This window comes from Homo sapiens, chromosome 14, assembly GCF_000001405.40.
Source record: "Homo sapiens chromosome 14, GRCh38.p14 Primary Assembly".
NCBI classification, from domain to species: Eukaryota; Metazoa; Chordata; class Mammalia; order Primates; family Hominidae; genus Homo; species Homo sapiens.
Window position 1 is genome coordinate 106,082,038 of NC_000014.9, and position 22,363 is coordinate 106,104,400.

At 37.6% G+C, this 22,363-nt stretch overlaps 1 gene segment (V, D, J or C) and 1 further gene; both read right to left on the reverse strand.

Annotated features, from left to right (window-relative positions):
- IGH (immunoglobulin heavy locus) overlaps positions 1-22,363 on the reverse strand; it is a 1,293,408-nt gene that overhangs the window by 495,601 nt on the left and 775,444 nt on the right.
- On the reverse strand, positions 6,085-6,536 carry IGHV3-64D (immunoglobulin heavy variable 3-64D). The segment is given in 2 exon segments: positions 6,085-6,391; positions 6,491-6,536. Coding segments are annotated over 2 exon segments (353 nt in total), but the record flags the coding sequence as incomplete, so codon positions are not given.

Here is a 22,363-nt window from a genome sequence, read left to right on the forward strand (position 1 = left end):
AATTTCTCATGAGAAGGGCAGTACCATGTCTGGATCCTGCACAGAATTCAGAAACAATGAATTTGGGCTAAAGCTGAAAATTACAATTGTTTGCAGATTGTGTTATTAATTATCTATGTCATCTGAGAAAATGAAGTAAAATCATGGTTTTCATACAAAAATCCAGTGTGCTGGCCCTGAGAATCCACCTCTAATCCCTCCAACATCAGGGAGCCCAATAGACCAGGCAGCCAGCTGCTGCACTACACTCTAACACCCATCACCTGTGTGTGCCAAAGACACCCATCCTGGGAGCTCCTCCCAGACTATGGCTGTGCACAATAGAGATACTGAGGCATGGCTGCTGCTGGGACATATGGGAGGTCCCTGATGGCACCAATGGCCTCGCTGGAGTTAGCTTGGACCACAAGATAGGTAGGAAGCTCCATTGAACTCCCACTATTCTCCAGTGCTAGTTGTGAGACTGGCATTGTGGGTTGGCAGTGTCTACAGCCTCATCCAACTGCCTGTGCATTTTTACACCTCCAATACTTACATCGGTTTTTGGGACATATAAGAATGTTTCCTCTTTCAAATTAAAGTTTTGTAATCCAGGGACCTCATGGTAGGCACAGAAACATAAAAGTGCAGAGGATTCGAGGGCACCTGCTATATGCAGAGGAAGGCACAGATCCTGAAGGACAGCAGCCCTTGACTGCTTTTCTGTACCTGCCCTAGGCCTCCACCCGTTTTGTGAGTGCTGAGTGTCCCCTTCGGCCCAGACTCCTTTCTTCTTTCTTCTTTCAAAATTTCCAGACACAGGAAATTTTGTGTCTGGACTCACACCTATGTTTCCTCACTTGGAACCTTATGTACAGCCATGCATGGCCATGTCCTCAGGTTCTCAGACAGTTCATTTGCAGATACAGCGAGTTCTTAGCATTGTCTTTGGAGATGGTGAATCTGCGCTTCACAGAGTCTGCATGTTATATCTGACTTCCATCATATTTTATATCTATTACTCACTCCAGCCCCTTCCCTGGAGTCTTGTTGACCCAGCTCATTCAGTAGCTACTGAAGGTGAATCCAGAGGCTAAACAGGAGAGTCTCAGGAACTTCCCAGATTGTCTCAGGTCCTCTATGGACTCAATCAGCTGCACCTCACACTGAACACCTGAAAATGCATGGACATCCTGGTCAGAAACTGCCGAACATATCCACTGTTTCTCTGACTCATATCCACTCACTCTAGTTGTCTATGAGTCACCTTTTTAAATACAAACAAGAAAAAATCAGCTTAACTCACACCCCATAGTGAGTCCTCTGTGTTCAATCCTGATCACCAAAATGGAAACCCCTGGGAATCCCAGGGCTGTGGCTCTTCTCCCAGAGCTGCAGGGTTGGGTCTGGGATTGTTTTCACCAGGAGAGGGAGTGTCCTGTTTTCATGCCTCCTCGTCTATAGTAAGCTCCAGTGTGGGATGCCTGAGAAGAAGGCAGTGCCCAGAGGAGATATGAGACTCCTGGAGGAGCAGAATTGAACAAGTGGAACTAGATTAACAAAAAAAGATTCTGCAAAGCAACGAAATAATTCCAGCTCACAGAATTGGATAATATACCATGTATCTGGAGGAGTTAGTGGAATGGCAGCGTTTGGGAAAATATGATTATTCATAATGTGACTGTGCCATGAAACTCACTAGGCAATTACTATTTTATTTTTTACACATGTGTACAAATACAAATATAAATGCATTAAGCAAACTTTAATATATATATGCATATATAGAGAAATAGAAAACAATATAAAAATATGGGAAAACCTTAATACCTCACTTAACAATAATGTATAGCAAATTCAGAAAGAGAATTGTTAACAAGCCTCTGAACTTGAACAACACTGTTGAACAAATTTTCCTGAAAGACATTTACAGAACCTTCCAACCAAGAGCCATGTAATACACATCCTTCTCAAGCACCCATTGAACATTCTCCGTGATAGGTTATATGTTAAATCATAAAATGAGTCTTAACATTTAAAGAAGTAATGGCAACCCTTCCGTAACTCTTTCAAAAATTGGTGAGGAGTCCACCTTCCAAACTCTTTTTTTTATATATAGTAAATAAACTTTATCTGTTTCTCAGAGATGACACTGCCAACAGTCACAGATTTGCATACAATACTGTTATGTATTGGCTATTTACAATTTACAGTAGTGTTTTTTCCTCTGAAAAATATAAGCACAAAAGCTAAATAAACAATGACTTACTGCCATTTGGGATGTATTACATGCCATAGCGTAAATAACTGGTCTGCAGCAAATATTCAACAAATCAACCTGAATAAAATAGTCGGTTAGGGATTTAGTACATGGCACAGCTTAAAGAACTGGCCTTTAGCAAATATTCAACAAATCAACCTTAATACAATAGTCAATTAAGTGATTTATTATTTCTAATTCATTAGAAAAAATCCACTAAGTTTCACCTCAAAATGTATTGCACAATCTTTATGAAAAAAATCACCCTAAAAATAATTAGGAAAGGTAAGCAGTTCTTTAAAAAGCATGGAAGAAAGGAATATTATGTAAGCCCTTTAAGCAGGTTAAGTCATTCAAAATATCTTTTAAAATACATAAAACTATTCCCAACAGAAAACTGAAGAAAAAAACTATCACCGTTTCTCCACTGATAAAATCTATTTTAAAGGCAGTCTGCAACAAACCCTCCAAACTCTTTCTATGAGGCTACCGTTACAGTATTACCAGTAATAGACAAAGGAACCACAATTAAATAAAACCATAGATCAATATCATTAATAGACATAAATTAACCGTCCAACAACAGTAAAATAAATTCTAAAGATTTTATAGAAGACCATACACCATGACCAACTCAAATTTCTTCCTGAGATGCACAGATGATTCAACATTCTCAAATCAATCAATTTGGTACACCACATTAAAAAACTAAAGAAAAAATATCTCAGTAACATTTCATCAGACACAAAAACATTTGAAAAAAAATTCAGAGTTTCATTATAAAAACTCTGAACAAAGTATGAAGACAAGCAAACAACTTGTACATAATAAAAGCCATTAAGAAAAGTCTCAGCTATTGTTATACTCAATAGTAAAAGGTTAGAATATTTTGGTCTAATATCTGAAACAAGGCAAGAAGAAAGCTTGAGGTATTTCACTTCCAGGCCTCAACATTTATTAGAAACACAGAGTAATAAATCAGAATGGTATTGGCATAAATGCATACAGGGCTGAGATATAAACCCACATACTGATGGCCAGCTGATTTTCAGCATGAGAACAATCGATATACAATTGCTAAATTATAGTGACTTCCAAAGAGCAGGTTATGAAAATTGGATTTTCACATGCAAAGAATTAAGAATTTTAGGTTAGAATAAACAAAAAAAATTAACTCTAAATGAATTCAATATTTAAATGAAATACCTGCAATTGTAAAACTCCCAACCCTCAAAAAATTAGCAATCTTTTTCTGGCTTTTACATTCAAAGGACATAAAAAAAAAAACAGAATTGGACAAGTGGGACTAGATTTAAAAAAGGATTCTGCAAAGCAACGAAATAATTCCAACTCACAGAATTGGATAATATACCATGTATCTAAAGAAGTGTTAACATCCAAAACGTAAATGAAACTTCTACAACTCGATAAAATAAAAATAGCGTAATTTAAAAATAATCGGTTTTACACCTTTAACAATATAAGAACCTAGAACTCATGTTAAATGTTTTTCTACATGGGTAATGGTCTGTCTTATGGTGTACTTGGCTGGCCAATACTTTGTAGTTATTTGACCAAACACTAATCCAGGTGGTAGTGTGGATTTTTAATAGACTTTATTAAAACTGTAATCAGTTGACTCTATGATAGGTAGATTATCTTTGATAACCAGCTTGGCCTTGATTCCATCAGAACAGATCTGGAGAAGGTAAAACTCCATGGTGATTAAGGACCTTGAGCTCTTTCTAAGACATCCAGCCTGCATTTACTGATGGCCGGCCCTGAGAGTATTGGATGTTTCCAGCCACCCCCAAAAATTGTCATTCCCTACATCTCACAGGAAAGTGGTCTGCATCTTGTCAAACCTAAATATCAGACAGAAAGAGATTCTCCAAAATCAAATCGTATTTATTTGAAAATGAGCATTGCAATGGGATTATCCATGGTCACATTTAGGTTGGTAAAGGAAGACAAGTATTCTAAAGGATAAATGAGAAGATTACATGAGCTATTTTGAGACAATTATCCTGGGGTAGAAGAATCAATAACAAGGGTAGAATCAGTTTAAGGCTGAACAGGGAGTTGCAGGGCAGATATCCCCACAGTATTAATTCTCTTATTGTTGTGGTAGCCTTTGTTCAAGGTTGTGGTTGTGCAGAGTATTTTTAGGGTAGTTCTTGTTATCAGGGATGTGTGCATGAGAACCCTCTATTCATGACCTCCTCCAGCTTCACCTGTAAAGATTATAACACACGTGGCTCCATTTTTATTCTGACAACGTTCACACCCACTTCCTCCTCCACTAGTGAAGAACGTTACTGTGTGAAGGTTTTTCAGAACAGGATTAGAAACACATCCACATCCCACGTTAACCAAACAAGCTTGTCCCCTGTGTTCTCACTGGCAACTTGTATTTCGACATGAGTCTCCATGCAACACAGTGGAGGGTCCTGAGTGACGAGGAGTGAAGAAAGTCCCACCAGCCTCTCCCACGTGACTGCAGCAGCCACAGCCTGAGACCCACCTGAGCTCCAGGAAAAGGGCTTGAGGCCTGGAATTTTGACCACAGCAAAAACATCTTTGTTTCTCAGAAAGCAGGAAAAGCAAATGGAAAAATGAGAACAACAACTAAAAAAGAAAGTAAATGAATCAGGAACAAAAGAAGCACCAGATCAGTGCTGATGCTGATTTGCATACTTCGGTGTCAGGAGAAGGGTCCCACAAGAAAGCTGTGAGGTTCTACATGACACTGACCCTGGCCCAGCCTCTCTTTTTTCTGTAATCAGAATCCCCAAAGACTGTTCTTGCTGGGATTCATTCAGGATGGTGGCAGAAATATTAAAGGGAAATATTAACGAAAGTTATAGGAAATAGTCACAAACTTTTTTGGAAGGCCGGAAGTTTACATAGCTTGCAATAACTGAACAGGCTGAAGATGGCCGGTTCTTACCTTAGAGCATTAGGTTGTAGGGTAAATACTAGGGACAACAGAGGCTTCCCCAGTTAAGTCTGGTTACCCTACCCCATTAACTAACCTTTAAGCCAGAAGACCCTCTCAGCGGGAGGTCGACCAAGAATATTGCCCCCTAATGGTATTTACTTCAGACCACAGTCCCTGAGCTTTACTCATTCGTAGAACTACTCTCTTAACCATGTTAATTATCCACAAGTGTGTTGACTCAGAGCTTCTGTTGTTAATTCTATACTAAATACACGCCTGGAGTGCGAGCTGCTCAGGGCCACTGCTGCCATTCTTTACAGGATTCTTCTTGGAGTCTGTAAGTGGCCTCGGACCCTCAGCTGCACTGGAAAAACAGAGTATCTGTGTGTCAGTGTACATTTTATTCATACACCACCGAATCAGGGGTCTGCAGGAACAGACCCCCCGGAGCTAGAGCTCTCTTGTGAGGAGCAATACCTCAGTTCTAGTCAGGAATCTTTCTGAGGTTCCTGTCCTGAATTTGATTGGAGAAGACTCACCAGGAAGCCCCTAGTTTCCTCAGAACTCTGATCATGGTGACCATGGTTGAGGAGTTTTCATCTCCTCTGTAAGGATCAATCCGCATTTTGTACACAGGAGAATAGGTTTTCATATTAAAATAATCATTTTAAAAAATATGTACAGATGACATTAGTAAGCACAGAGTTCTGAACTTAGAGAGGTTCACTAGAGAAACTGTAAAGAGATGAAGTCCCACATCGTGACAGGAAATCAGCCTCCTTGTGCACCTGCCTCTGAGGTTGACGCTGATCAGTGGGTCCTGAGCGCCCACTGCAGCTGTTTTTCTCCAGCGTTCCTGCAGGGAGGTTTGTGTCTGGGCTCACACTGACTTCCCCTCACTGTGTCTTTCACACAGTAATACACAGCCGTGTCCTCAGCTCTCAGACTGCTCATTTGAAGATACAGCGTGTTCTTGGAATTGTCTCTGGAGATGGTGAATCTGCCCTTCACGGAGTCTGCGTAGTATGTGCTACCCCCATTACTACTAATAGCTGAAACATATTCCAGTCCCTTCCCTGGAGCCTGGCGGACCCAGTGCATAGCATAGCTACTGAAGGTGAATCCAGAGGCTGAACAGGAGAGTCTCAGGGACCCCCCAGGCTGGACCAAGCCTCCCCCAGACTCCACCAGCTGCACCTCACACTGGACATCTGCAAACAAAGAGACACCAAGGTCAGAAACTGCCACACATATCCACTGTTTCTCTCACTCACGTCCACTCACACTATCTCTAGTTCTCCATGAATTACCTTTTAAAATGGCAACAAGGAGAACCCAGCTCAGCCAGAACTCCATGATGAGTCTTCTGTCTTCAGTGCTGATCACTGAATGGAAACACCTGGGAATCCCGGGCCTGGGGCTCCTCTCCCAGAGCTGCGGAGTCAGGGCTGGGCTGGTTTTCATCAGGAGAAGGAGGGACCTATTTGCATGTCTCCTACTATATAGCAAGCTCTGGGGTGGGACGCCTGAGGAGAGGGCAGGGCCCAGGGCAGATGAGAGTGTCCTTGGGGATTTCGATGACAATGATTGTATTTGGGAAAATGCTGACTTATTGTGAAATTGTTCCATGATAAACATTTAATAACTATCACATTTTTAATTATGTTTACCTATGTGTATAAATTATGTTATTTAGGAATCAGTGGTTTCTTCATGTACAGACGTAAAAGTGAACCCACACATGGAGGGGCTATGTATGTGTCTAAGGGCTTATATCTGGCATGAGTGAGTCCTAGTACCTGGGCCTATGCTCCTCACAACTGGCCTCAGTTGCTCTGAACCAACTACAGGACAGAGATAAACGGGCCAAGTGTGGTTTGCAGAATCCACTTCCTGTCACGAGAACCTGTCTGATTTTGCTGTGTTTACTTACAAATGTGGAGACAAGATTCAGGTAGATAAATATTTAGGTATATCTGACATTTAACATATTTATTTGTTCCTTGCTGTATTTCCTATTTTGTCTAAAATGTCAATTGTTTACTTGTAATAAATTTCATACGTTTTAATTGACAGATAACAAAATTCACATATTTAACCTGTACAATAGTAAACATTGAAAAAAAATCTCTATTTTCAAGAAGGTGACAAGTCAACTTCCCTCAGGATTCCTCTTGCTCTCTTATTTTTTTTGTTTTTTCTCCTTCCTTTCTTCTACCATTTCTTTATAAAACTACTGATGTTTTCATATTTCTTTCAACTAGCTTTTATTTTCTAGAATTTATAAGAATGAAGTAATATAGTATATATCTTAACTATTTGGCTTATTTTTCTCAATAGAAATGCTGAGAGTTAAACCTTTTTGTTGTGTGTGTTTATATTTTATAAATGGGTAGCATTTCAGCAAACAAATGTAGCATAATTTCTTTTTCTATTAAGCTGATAATTGATCCTGGAATTTTTTATTACTCTAGATCTTATTAATAATTCTGCTACTCAGCTTCATAATGTACATAAATTATAAATTATACATAAATTATATAAATATATTTCCCTTTATAAAAACAATAACAGATTAAACAAGAGAATGTGTAGTTTGGCAAATTTTCTTTAATATTTCAGATAATACAAGTTATAAGATAAAAAATAAACCTGTAAACCAAAGAGTATCTGAGACTAATCTCAATAGATTTAGGAAGTTCATTTTCCAAGATTAAGGACATGCCTGTGACACCACCTCAGGGAGTCCTGACGACATGTGCCCAAGGTTGTGGGGCACAGCTTGGTTTTATACAATTTAGAGAGACATGGGACATTAATTAATATATGTAAGATGTACATTGGTTTGGTTCAGAAAGGCAGGACAACTCGAAGTGGGGAGAGAGCTTCAAGATCATAGGTAGATATGAGACAAATGGTTGCATTCTTTTGAGTTTCTGATTAGCCATTAACTGAATGCACAATTTACAGGAATAGTCACGTAGGCCTATTTTTCACGCAGCGAAACAATAGAGCAAAGGTAGCAATCAGATATGCATTTGACTTACGTGAGCAGAGAAATTATTCTGTCTGTCCTTGGTTCATAAGGATTTTCCTTGTGGTCAAATCGGGAAGGAGGTATGCAGCTTTTAAAAACCTTAGTAGCTATCATTTTAGGGAAAGAATGGGAGGTGGGTTTGCCCCAGTTTTCAGCTTCACTTTCACATTTGGCTTAGTGATTTGGGGGTCCCAAAGGTATATTTTCCTTTCACGAACACGGAAATCTTGGGAGAAACAAGTTCTTGTTTCTCCAAGAGAGAAACAAAGCCATGGTGTTAACTAAACTGAGGCAGAGGCTGCCATATGAAATATAGCCTATTACAAGATAAAGACAAATACGTGTTGGATTGCTTAAATTCCAGTGTGGAAAACGTGTTGTCGTGTGAAATTCTCAGGAACCACATACTGAAGGGCACTGAAAAAGTGAATTAAATATGGCCTGAGAAGGACTCCGTACTTCTATGATTGAGTCCTTGTGGACAAACCGTAACCTACCTGAATGTGTGGACAAGATTGAAACCCTAATTTAGGAGTATGCACCTGTAACAATAGCTGAGCCTTGGTCAATTCCAGTAGCCATACCTTAACCACTCATACACCCTTGAGTGTTCAGACTGTGTTTAAATAAGACAAACACCAACCTGTAACCAATCCAGTCATTCCTGTACCTCACTTCTAATTTCTGTACATCATTTTTTTTTCATCTATAAATCTTCTTCCACCATGTGGCTACATTCAAGCCTCTTCGAATCTATTCTGGGGGCTGCCTGATTCATGAATCATCCATTACTCAATTAAACTCTTTTAAATTTAATTTGCCTGAAGGTTTTCTTTGATCAGCATTCCTATCCTAGTGAATCCCTTTACCCTAGAATGGGGACAGTGAGAAAAATCTTTATTTCCCAAAGTGTCTTTCTAAGACAGAGGGAGGCCACATACTTCTAAAATGCATTCAGACACAATCCCTCCTTAGCACTATAGAAATAAGGAATTATCTACCCTGCAGGGGCAAGCCACTGAAACCATTATTCCAGAGGTACTGATGGAGCCCTAAAGGACATGGGATAAAAACCGAGGTTCTCATCAAAGTTCCATCAAGTTGCACCTCCACTCTGTCATGGAATAAAATCCTTAATCTGCAGGGCATGGCAGCAGATCTAGAAGGTGATTGATTGTAACAGTGGAGAATATTGAAGCTGTAGAAGGGAACAACTGGTACAAAAATATCATTATCTGAGTTAGAATCTGATGATATAAAATTATTATTGCAAACCTTGTGGTAGCCAACAAAACATTAATAAAAATAAATTAAGTCATAAGTAAGTTAATAGGATAAACTTTACAATAAAATGCCAAAATAAAGCAAGAATTAACAGGCTGGGCACAGTGGCTCACGCCTGTAATCCCAGCACTTTGGGAGGCCGAGGCAGGCGGATCACCTGAGGTCAGGAGTTCGAGACCAGACTGACCAACATGGAGAAACCCTGTTTCTATTAAAAATACAAAATTTGCTGTGCATGGTGGTGCATGCCTGTAATCCCAACTACTTGGGAGGCTGAGGCAGGAGAATCGCTTGAGCCCAGGAGGCAGAGGTTGCAGTAAGCTGAGATCTCACCATTGCACTCCAGCCTGGGCAATGATAGCGAGATTCCATCTCAAAAAAAAAAAAATTAACCGGAAAAAGAGATAAAAGTTTAAAAGGATAATTTGTCATAGCTTCTTAAAAAAAAGATTCAACTTTTAGGTTTTTACAAGAAAGTTACTCTGTATTTTTACAAATAGAAAGTTGAAGATGTGATGACATGTTCCATGAAAGTATGAATGAAAAGAATTATTGAGAAGCTATTTTAATTTCAGAATAAGTGGTCATTAGAAAATATACTGTTAAGACTGAAGAAAAATATTACACAGAATAAAGGGTTTACTTTTCTAGAAGACATCAAAAAAGATTTAACAAATGTTTCAGAAAATAAACTAACATTTATAGTAAATGTAAAATTCAGTACCAATTGTGATTGAAAGAACAGACAGTGAAAAAATATGAAAAGATTTAAGTTACCTAAATGGCAGTAAAAACCTACTTGGCTAATTTTCATGTATAAAATGTTCAACTGGAAAACAGTAGGAATGCAGACTCCAATTAACCCAAAAAGATTAGAGGTAAAGAGTGATTGAATTCAATATGGTGACCCAGGTTGAGCCTTGGAACAAAGAAACAAACAAAAGCAAGAGTGGAGTCAGACCTCATATTTAAAAAAAAAAGGAAAACAAACAAGAAAAATATTGGGAAATTGTTGAAGCTCAAATAATGTCTGGAGTCTAATAAATATAAATCCATAGGTATAAATGTGTTAGTAGAATGTGCCATGTTTATGTAAAAGTTAACCTTAGAAGAAACTTGGAGATGGAAGGGAACACACTATGTATTTCTTCTAAAATTGTTCTGGTCATCTATACTTATTACAAATCAAAAGTGTGTAAACTGCAAAAGCACTATGATAAAAATAAAAACCATAAGAACTTATGGAATAGGTTGTTGAAAATGATACTATCACAAACATTATGCAAATTATTTTTTAAAATAATTTTGAAATGTCTAAGACATTGACAAATGTTTATTTGTATCAGGAAAATATTAGAAGTATCTAATACTAAATTCTAGTAATGGAAGTGGCATTTATATAGTTATTTTATTCTCTACAATAGGATGGACTACAGGTATTATTATCATAAGCATTTATTTGGCCAGTAGTGAGACTGATTGTATGATGTTTTTCTCAACTGCATAGCAATATTCTATTAATTCAATTTGACATATCTTATTACATGTGTCTTTTTCAAAACCTTGAACTAGTATGTTCATTATTGATATGACTTCTGTGGAAGTCTGAGGCATTTGAAATACACTATGATTTTTTACTTGTGTGTTCTTTATTATCTTTTAACATGGCAAAACTTAGATTGTTATAACCCTATAAGTTAATAATGTATTTCCTACTTCATAGTCACACACACACACACCAAAAAAACCACACATGCTCAACAATGATACACATATGTGCAAAACCAAAAATAAATGCATATTCAAACACAAAAAGAAGGCACACTTTTTGCATAATATTTTAATTATTGGATTGAATTGAAATTATTGTGTTTATAGTAATTGAGATTGTAGTCTAAAATAATGTTCTTCTATATATATATTTCTGTCTATTCCAATGTCAATAAACAAATGTATTTCAATGCATGTTCTGGTAAAAGTTAACATAAATGCCATTCTTGAAAATTATATTACTTTAATGTACAATGGTATTTATTTATGAACTTTGTGTTGGTTTATTTCTCATTTGTGTTAGCAGCATCCTTTTTGAATATCAGTCATTCACAAATTGAATAAGTAATAAACATTACTATTAAAATTTTATTACATTATTGATTGTATTATCATTGTATTTTCATAAAAGTCAGATTAAAATATTTCTATTTAAAAGTATTCCTTTAAATTTTTTTGCATCCAATTTCACTCTGGTAGTTATTTGCTAATACTCCTGAATGCTAGAGAACATCCAGCAATGTGGAACTGAAATCTGCCCAGGATTCTCAGGATTCATTCACAACAGCAGCTTGCTAGAGGGTGGTCTGAGAGTGCGCAAATACTTTAGAGATGTGGACTTCATCATCAAAGCCCTAGTGAGCCCCAGGGCTGAGCACACAGAGGGCAGCAGGAGCTGCAGAGCCCACTCTGTTAATTAGGGAAGGGAGGAGATGGGGTGTGGGTGATGTCTGCAGGACCCTAGAAAGGGGTGAGGTGGGCAGTGAGTCTGAATGAACATATTCTAAGAACATTTACCTGCCCATACTTGATTGGCTTCGGTGATCATGAAGGAAAGTGAACTGATTCACCAGACACGGATGAGGCAATGTAAACGGACTTGCTGGTTCCTTGAATGGAAATTGAGGAATATGAAAGGTTTGGACAGAAAAAGGGAAGGTGGGGAAACAGCCTGAGGGGTCACAATCAGAGGATGAAAGAGAAAGAAACTCAGCACCATGCATATGCTGAGTTATTGTTAGAAACCCTTTATGATAGTGTGACTGACACAGCACAGAAACGAAAAGCTGTTTGTGGAAATAATTTGAAGTAAGCATACACAATTTCTTCATTTTAAAATTGTACTGAGATATTATTACTAGTATTATTACAACAATATTAAGAATTAATAGTTTAATTGAACTCCTGTTCTAAGTTAAGGTTTTGTAGGTGAGAGAAACCATGGATTCTAAAGAAGAAATAGTAAAAGACCCTGGGAAGACGTTTGCTTCACCAGGTCAGGAATCACAAGACCTAAATAAAGAAACTCACCCTCCCCAGGGACCTGATGAGGAGCTGCCTGCTAAGAGAACCCTGGTTTCCTGAAGGCCCTCTGGTGTTCTCATTGCCCCCTGGTGGTTCTGAGCTCCCCAGGGTGTCCTGAGCGCCCCCTGGTGGTTCTGAGTGCCCCATGTGGTTCCTAAGCGACCCTTGGTGGTTCCTGGGCACCCCCTCACTTCCTGAGCGCCCCCTGGTGGATCTGAGCACCACTTGGTTGTTGCTGAGCACCCTCTGGGGTCCTGAGCAACCCCTGGGGTCCTGAGCAACCCCTGGTGTCCTGAGCGCCCCCTGGTGGTTCTGACTGTCCTCTGACGGTTCTGAGCGCCCTCTGGTGGTTCCTGAACGTCTCCTGGTTAGTCCTGAGTGTCCCATAGTGGTTAATGAGCGCCCCCTGGTGGTTCCGAGCATCTCCTGGTGGTTCCTGAGAACCCCCTTGTGTCGTGAGTGCCCCCCGGTGGTTCTGTGTGGCCCCTGGTGTCCTGAGCTTCCCCCAGCATTCTAAGTGCCTCCTGGTTGTTCTGAGAGCCCCCTGCTGGATTCTGAGCACTCCTGTGTGTCCCCATCGCCCACTGGTGGGTCTGAGCATGCCTACTTTGCAGTCCCCTCCTGTTTCCCTGCAGGGAAGTTTGCGTCTGGACTCACCACACTGGTGTCTGCTGACTGTGTCTCTCACAGTAACACGTGACCTTGTTCTCGGCTCTCAGGTTGGTCATTTTGAGGGAGACTGTGCTGACAAGGGTGTCCCTGAGGATTATGATTCTTCTTTGTATTGATGGAGGGTACCACTAACAAATTCCACTCAAATCACTCACTGTTGCCCCCCAACACCAGCCCCTGGCCTGAAGACTACTGGGCTGAGCTAATGATGGAGTCAATGAAGGTAAATTCAGAGGCTTTGTAAAAAAGTATCTGAGATTCCACCAATGAACTTCATGTAGGACTATTACGAATACAGAGGGAACAGGCTGAGGAGCAGCCACAGCTGTATTTGATCCACAGAAGCCCTACCTCTGAGAGTGATAAAAAGTGAAGCACAGATTAGCACACACTCTATGTTGTAGACACTAAGGAAGGGCACAGACATCAGTTGACGTTCCCTTTATGGACAGGGAGCATGGGAAGGACACATTTACACCTCTTTCTCCTCTTTCTCCCTGGACAAGTGTGCTCTGCTCAGCATGGCTCATCCCTCTGCTTCTAGATTTCAGGGAGGGCAGGATCAAAGAATCACTGGAACTGGATGCTCTGGCTTAATCTTCCTGTCACTCTCTTCTTTTTCTCTAATGTGAACCCTGTTTAGATATTTTTATGGTATCAACTTTCATCAACAAATAAGTCAAAGAAGTACATGAAAAAGAAGTGCTAGGAAGTGTTAGTACATGAACAGGAACCTGTTTGCATGTCTCCTGTTGTAGAGTCAGTTCTGGGGTGAAATACCTGAGGAGAGAGCAATGTTCATAGTAGATGAGAGTGTTATTTTTAGCATTTGAAAAAATATAATTTTCCACTCTGTCCCTAAGCAACTACTGATCTTTTTTGTTACTTTAGATTCATGTTCATTTTTTGTGGTTTGTAGAAATAGATTTATACTTTATGCACTTTTACTTGTTGGCTTATTTTAGTTAGCATACATTTTTGTGAGTACAACAATGTTGTTTTGTGTATCAAAGTTGTATTACTCAGGGTTCTCCAGAAAAATAGAACTAATATGACATATGTATATATATAAATATTTTATTAGAAAGAATTTTCTCACAAAATTGCAAGATGAAAGTTCCATGATAGGCTTTCTAAAAGCACGGAAAGAGACAAACTGGTAGTGGCTCAGTCTAAATCCAAAAGTCTCAAAACTAGAAAAGCCAACAGTGCACCCTTGAGTCTCTGACAAAGGGCCCAGGAGCCCTCAGGAAGCCCCTCCTTCAAGCCCTGGCATCCAACCACCAAAGAGCCTGAAGTCTCATGTCCAAGGGCAGGAGGAAACAAAAAGGCAGCCAGCAAGGAAAACAAAACAAAAACATAAAGCACAGCAACCAATGCTATCTCATCTTCTTCCACCTGCTTTATTCTAGCTGTGCTGGCAGCTGATTGGATGGTGCCCATCCACATTGAGGGTGGGTTTTCTCTTCCAGTCCACTGACTCAAATATCAACCTCCTCTGGCAAAACCCCAAGAGATACACCAAGAAACAATATTTTCCCAGCCATCTAGGCATCCCTTAATCCAATCAAGTTGACACCTAGTATTAACCATCAAAAGCCCACCTCTTGTCAACTTAGCACCCCTACACATCTAGCTGCAATCATGCTTGATCTCCAAATAAAGACAATAATAAGGTCATAATTATGCCTAACATAATACAGCTATCCTTCATACAACTGAAAGTGCACTAATCCTTAACCTAAATGCCACTACATCCGTTTAACAACATTTAAATGCTGATATGAAATCAATAAATCTTATGATACATGATAAAAAGAAAACAAATTCAATGAAAACAATGAATATATTTTTGTTCGTTTGTTTGTTTTTGAGACGGAGTCTCAGTCTGTCATCCAGGCTGGAGTGCAGTGGCATGATCTCGGTTCACTGCAACCTCTGCCTCTTGGGTTAAGGGTTCAAGCTATTCTCCTGTTTCAGCCTCCCAAGAAGCTGGGACTAAAGGCACCTGCCAGCACGCCCAGCTAATTTTTGTATTTTTGGTAGAGACAGGGTTTCATCATACTGGTCAAGCTGGTCTCGAACTCCAGACTTCAGGTGATCCACCCACCTTGGCCTTCCAAAGTGCTGGGATTACAGGTATGAGCCACCACATCCGCCACGGTGAAGATATTTTCTTAGCACAGTTATATACATGCAGAAATATATTCTTAACAAGATAAGGAGGAAATACTCATAACAATTAGAGTCCTCACTTCTGGTAGCATGCTTGTTCCTGGTATTGATAACTACCTTCTTCTAGCACGCATTCTGTATTTTTTTTTTTTTTTTTGCCTTCAATAAGTACCTTGGCTAGTCAGGTTTTTTTTACCTGGTTGAGTGACCCAAACTTTTATTTCTGAAGTACCTGGGCCATTTGTGTTCCTGCCTGAATTAGGTTGTTGTAGTTTCCCATTGACCTTAATCCCATGGTAAAGTAATACTAAGAGATGCCCTAAGAAATCTCCTGTATTCCAGACATACTGTTTCTTACCTCCATTGTGGAGTAGTAGTCTGATTTCAACTTGATAGTCAGGGTCAGTCACCCCAGAAATACAAATTAGAGAATTTTTTTTTCAATTTATGTGAATGAATGTCTTTGAAATTTTGAATGGGATTGCATTGAATCTGTAAATGCTTAGGTTAGGGTGGACATATTAACAATGTATGTTCCAGTAACACAAGAACACAAGATAGCCTTCCATTTATTTGTGTTTTCTTCCATTTTAATCAATATATTATAATTTTTAATGTGCAGATGTTTTGTATCCTTGTTAAATTTATTTTGGTAAAATTTATTTTATGAATTTTAAGCTGTTGTATTTAGATTTATTTTCTTGATTTTAATTTTGAATAATCATTTTTTAGTGTATACGGAAGATACTTATTTTTGTAGGTTGACTTTTGTTTAATTTCAATAGCTTTAGGGGTAAAGATTTTTTTTGTTAGATGGATGAATTACATAGCAATAAATTCTGAGATTTTAGTACACTCGTCACCTGAATAGTGTACACTGTACCTAAAGTGCATTTATTTTCTCTCTAGTGTCCCTCCTATTATTTCCCTTCTAAGTCTCTAAAGTCCCTTATATCACGCTGTATGTCTGTGCAAGTTCATAGCCCAGCTCCCACTTATAAGTGAGAACATAGAGTTTTTACTTTTCCACTCTGCTGTAACTTCACTTATAATAGTTGCCTCAAGCTTCATCAAAGTTGTTGCAAAAGACATTATGTCATTCCCTTTAATGGTTTATTAGTATTCCATGGTGTAAGTATGTCACATTTTCTTTTCTTTTTCTTTTTTTTGAGACAGTGTCTTCCTCTGTCACCCAGGCTGGAGTGCAGTGGCCTGATCTCGGCTCACTGCAGCCTCTGCCTCCCAGGTTCAAGCAATTATCCTGGCTCAGCCTCCTTAGTAGCCGGGACTACGGGCGTGCGCCACCATGCCCTGCTAACTTTTTGTATTTTCAGCAGAGATGGAGTTTCACCATGTTGGCCAGGATTGTCTCGATCTCCTGACCTTGTGATCCGCCCTCCTCAGCCTCCCAAAGTGCTGGGATTACAGGCGATGTCACATTTTCTTTATGAACTCATTAGTCAATAGGCACTTAAATTGGTTCAACATCTTTTCAATGTTAAATTCTGCTGCTATAAACATACATGTACACATCTTTTTCATATAATGACTTTATTTCCTTTGAAATAAAGAGTACTGAGATTGCTGGATCAAACAGTAGATCTGGCCGGGCACAGTGGTTCACACCTGTGATTTCCGCACTTTAGGGGGCCGAGGGGGAAGGATCACCTGAGGTCAGGAGTTATAGACCAGCTTGGCCAACATGGTGAAACCCCATCGCTACAAAAATACAAAAAAAAAAAAAAAAAAATAGCCAGGCATGATGGTGGGTGCCTGTAATCCCAATTACTTGGGAGGCTGAGGCGGGTGAATCTCTTGAACCTGGGAGGCGGAGGTGGCAGTGAGCCGAGATTGCGCCACTGCACTCCAGCCCGTGTGACTGAGCGAGACTCCATCTTAAAAAAGAAAAAACAAAACAAAACAGTAGATCTACTTTTTTGCTTTTCAGGAAATCTCAACAGTGTTTTCCACAGTGGTTATACTAAATTACATTTTCACCAGCGGTGTATAAGCATTCCCTTTTGTTTTTTGACTTTTTATAGTGGCCATTCTTGCAGGATTAGGTGTTATTAGATTGTGGTTTTAATTTGTATTTTCCTGATCATTAGTGATGCTACACAGTTTTTTATATGTTTGTTGGCCATTTGTATATCTTCTTCTGAGAACTATCTATTTATGTCCCTTGTCCTCTTTTGAATGGGATTATTTGTTTTTTTCTTGGCGACTTGTTTTAATATTTTGTAGATTCTGGATACTAATCTTCTGTCAGATGTGAAGTTTGCACATAATTTCTCCCGTTCTGTGAGTTGTCTTTTTACTCTGTTGACTATTATTTGTGCTGTGCAGAAACACTTTCGTTTAAATAGGTTCCATAAATTTATTTTTGTTTTTGTTGCGTTTGCTTTTGGGGTCTTATTTATAAGTTCTTTACCTACCCTGATGTGTAAAAGTGATTTCTAATATTGTTTTCTAGAACTTTTAGAGTTTCATGTCTTATATTTAAGAATTTGATTCATCTTGAGTTGGTCTTTTATATGGTGACAGATAGAAATCCAGTTTTATTCTTTTCCATGTGGCTTGCTAGTTTTCCCTGTACCATTTATTAAATGCAGTGTATATTTTCCAATTCATATTTTGGTATGTTTTGCAAAACAACAGTTGGCTTTACATATGTGGCTTTATTTCTGGGTTCTCTATTTTGTTCCAGTGGTCTATAAGCCTACATTTATATCAGTACCATGTTGTTTTGGTAACTGCAGCCTTGTGGTATAATTTGAAGTTCAGTAATGTGATGGCTCCAATTTTTTATCTTATTAGGATTTCTTTGGCTATTTGGGCTTTTTTTCTGGTTTTATATAAATTTTAGCATTATTGTTTTTTAATTCTGTAGAAAGTAATGTGGGTATTTTCCTAAGAATTGCTTTGAATCTGTAGATTGCTTTGGGCAGTATGGTCATTTTCACAATACTAATTCTTCCAATCCATGATCAGGGGATGCATTTCCATTTGTTTGTGTCATCTATGATTTCTTTCAGCAGTGTTTTGTAGTTCTCCTTGTAGAGATCTTTTACCCTTTTAGTTAAGTATATTGCTAAATATTCTATGTTTTTACAGCTTCTGTAAACTGGATGGAGTTCTTGGTTGAATTCTCAGCTTTGTTGTTGTTAATGTACAGTGGTGCTACTAATTTGTGTACATTTATTTTGTAACCTGAGAATTAGCTGAATTCATTTACTAAAACTAACACTATTTAGGAGGAGTCTAGGATTTTCTAAGGATATAATCACTTGATCTGTAAACAGTGATAGTTTGACTTTCTCTTTTTTAATTTGGATACTTTTTTTTCTCCTGACTAATTGCTCTGGCTAGAACTTCCAGAACTATGTTGAATAAAATTGGTGAACGTGGGCATCCTTGTATTGTTTGTGTTCTCAGGGGAAATGCTTTTAACTTTTTTGCATTCAGTATGACGTTGGCTGTGGGTTTTTCATATGTAACTTTTATTAGTTTGAGTCAGGTTTCTTCTATGCCTCGTTTATTTAGAGGTTTTTATCATGAAAAATGCTGAATTTTGTTCAATGCTTTTTCTACATCTATTGAGACAATCATAAGGTTTTTGTTTGCAATTCTGTTTATGTGATGTACTACATTTATTGACTTGTGTATGTTCAAATAATTGTGCATTTCTGAGATGAAACCCGCTTGATCATGAGGAATTGTATTTTTGATGTGCTGTTGAACTCAGATAGCTATTATTTTTTGTGTATTTTTGCATCTATATTTATCAGGGAAATTCATCTGTAGAGAGAGAGAGAGTGTGTGTGTGTGTGTGTATGTGTGTTTTCCTGGTTTTGGTATCTTGGTTATACTAGCTTCATGGAATAATTTAGGGAGGATTCTTTTTTTCTAAATTAAAAAAATTGTTTCAGCAAAATTGGTAGCAATTCTTCTGTAAATTTTTGATAACATTCAACTGTGAATTCACCTGGCCCTATTTGTTGTTGTTTTTATTGTTGGCAATTCTCGAATTACTGATACAATCTCACTCTTTGTTATTTATATATTCAAAGTAACTATTTCTTATTGATTTAATCTATGAGACTTGTAGATTTCTAGAAATTTGACCATTTCCTCTAAGTCTTCTACATTGTGTACATGAACATGTACTTGGTGGTTCTAAATTATTTTTTATATTAGTTATGTAGATTGTAATGTCCGTTTCACTTCTAATTGAGCTTATTTGTATCTTTGCTCTTCTTTTCTTGGTTAATCTAGCTGATGATCCATGAATTTGTTTATTTTTTCAAATAACCAGCTTTTATTTCATTGAATTTTTTTGTATTTTTTTGTTTGAATTTCATTTAGTTCTGCTCTCATCTTTGTTCTTTCTTTTCTTCTTCTGCCTCCAGGTTTGGTTTGCTCTTGTTTCTCCACTTTCTTGAGTTGTGACATGCTGTTTCAGACTTTTTGATGTAGGCAGTTGGGACTATAAACTTTCCTCTTATCACTGTTTTTGCTTTATTTTTGAAGTTTCAATAACTTGTCTCATTATTATCATTTAATTAAGATAATTTTTAAATTTTCTTCTTGATGTCATTGTTAACCTAGATATTATTCAGAAGCAGATTTCTTCATTTCTATGTATTTGTTCAGTTTTGAAAGTTCTTTAGAAAGTTGATTTTTAGTTTTATTCTGCTATGGTCTAAGAAGATACTTGATATGATTTCATTGTTTTAAATTTTATTAAGACTTGTTTTGTGGCCTATTACATGCTCTACCTTGGAGAATGTTGCGTGTGCTGATTAGAAGAATGTATATTCTGCAGATCTTGGATAGAGTGTTCTGTAAATATCTGCTGCATCCATTTCTTCCAGTGAGTCATTTAAGGACATTGTTTATCTCTTGACTTTCTGTCCCGAAGATCTCTCTATTGCTGTCATTATTGTATAGAAGTCTCCCACTATGATTGATTTGCTATCTAACTCAGTTTTTGAGGTCTAGTAGTACTTATTTCATGAATCTAGTTCCGCCGGTGTTTGGTGCATATAAATGTATAATTGTAATTTTTTGTTGAATTGATCCTTTTATCATTGTATAGTGATCATCTATGTCTTTTTTTTTATTGTTGTTGCTTTGAAGTCCATTTTGTCTGATATCAGAATAGTTATTCCTGCTCAGTCTTGGTTTCTATTTTTGTTGAAATCCTTTTGCCACCATTTTACCTTGAGTTTACATAAATCTTTGCGTGTTAGGTAAGTCTCTTAAAGACATCAGGTATTTCCATTGTGACTTTTTAAATCTAGTACGCAGTTGCATATTTTTTTTGTGGAGCATTTAGGCCATTTACATTCAATGTGAATATTTAGATATGAGTTACTATTTTCTTTGTCATGTTAATTGTTACCTAGTTTTTGTTTTCTTTTATATTGTGTCATTGTTTAATGGGCCCTGTGAGTTTTTAATTTTTAAGAGGTTCCATTTTTTGTGCGTATTGGGCTTTTGTTTCAAGGTTTAGGACTCCTTTTAGCATTTCTTGTAGTGCTGGTTTGCTAGTGACGAATTTGCTCAGCATTTTTTTTTCTGAAAATGACTATTTCTTTTTTTATTTATAAAACTGTTTGACAGGATAAAAAAAAATTCTTGGTTGAAAGTTGTTCTGTTTAAGGAGTTTGAAGATAGAACCTTAATCTGTCTGGCTTGTGAAGTTTCTGCTGAGAAGTCTGCCATTAGTCTGATGGATTTCTTTGTTTTGTTTTGTCTTGTTTTACTGCTCTTAGATTATTTCCTTCATGTAGACTTTAGGTAGCCTAATGACTGTATGGTTGGTGAAGGTATTTTTGCAATGAGTTTTCCAGGAGTTCCTTGAACTTCTTGGATTTGGACATCTAGGTCTTTAGTCAGCCCAGGGGAGTAGTTCTCAATTATTCCATCAAAGAAGTTTTCCAAACTTATTATTATTTTTTTCTTCTTCAGCAACATCAATTATTCTTAGGTTTATTTGTTTTACATAATCCCATATTTCCTGGAGACTTTGCTCACTTCTTTTGGCTCTTTTTATATTTATTTTTATCTGATTGGGTTATTTCAAAAATAGTCTAGTCTTTCTACTTTTTTCTTCTTTTTTTCTTCTACTGTTTCCTTTTTCTTTTTCTCCTAATATTTTACTTTTTTTCTAGTCTATTTTTAAAACTTTTCATGGCATTTTGTAGTTCCCTTACTAATTCTCTGCATTTTTTTTTTTATTTTCAGAAGTTCTGATTGGTTTCTCTTTAGGATATCTATCTCTCTATAAAAATTTATATTTATATTCTGAACTGCTTATATAAATTTATTTATGATGATTTTCACCTTTTTTGATATCTTCTTGAGTAGCTTATTAATCAACATTCTGATTTTCCTTTCTGGTATTTTAAAGACTTCATTTTGGTTAAGGTTTATTGCTGGAGAGGTAGTGTGACCTTTTTGCGCTGTTATACCACCCTGTTTTCTCATATTTCCCAAGTTATTTTTCTCATTTCTTCTTGTTTTGGTAGATTTTCTAGTTTGATTTGACTGTTTGTTTGTTTTTAAATGTATTTTTCCCTTAAGAATGAGATTTTTTATGCTTATAATTAATTACAGCCTGATTTGATTTTTGGTCCTTAGGGGAATGAAGACTCTGTAGGAGCTCCCTGGTTATACAGAGTCTTTGCGTGATCGCTTTCCTATGTGGTGGTTGCAGTAGAAATCAACTCAGTGTGTGAGCAAGTTCATTGTCTTCTATGGGGTTATAATGGTTGAGGTCTCTTAAATCTTATCTCATTCATCTGTGGCATGCCCGTGTTTATTTGCTTTTCCCCAGTGATTTGTTTACTTGTTTGTTGGTTCAGGCTTCAGACCAATGGGGGACTTGTCCCTGGGTAGAAAGCAGTTGTGGCTAAAACAGGTGGGTAAATTAAGT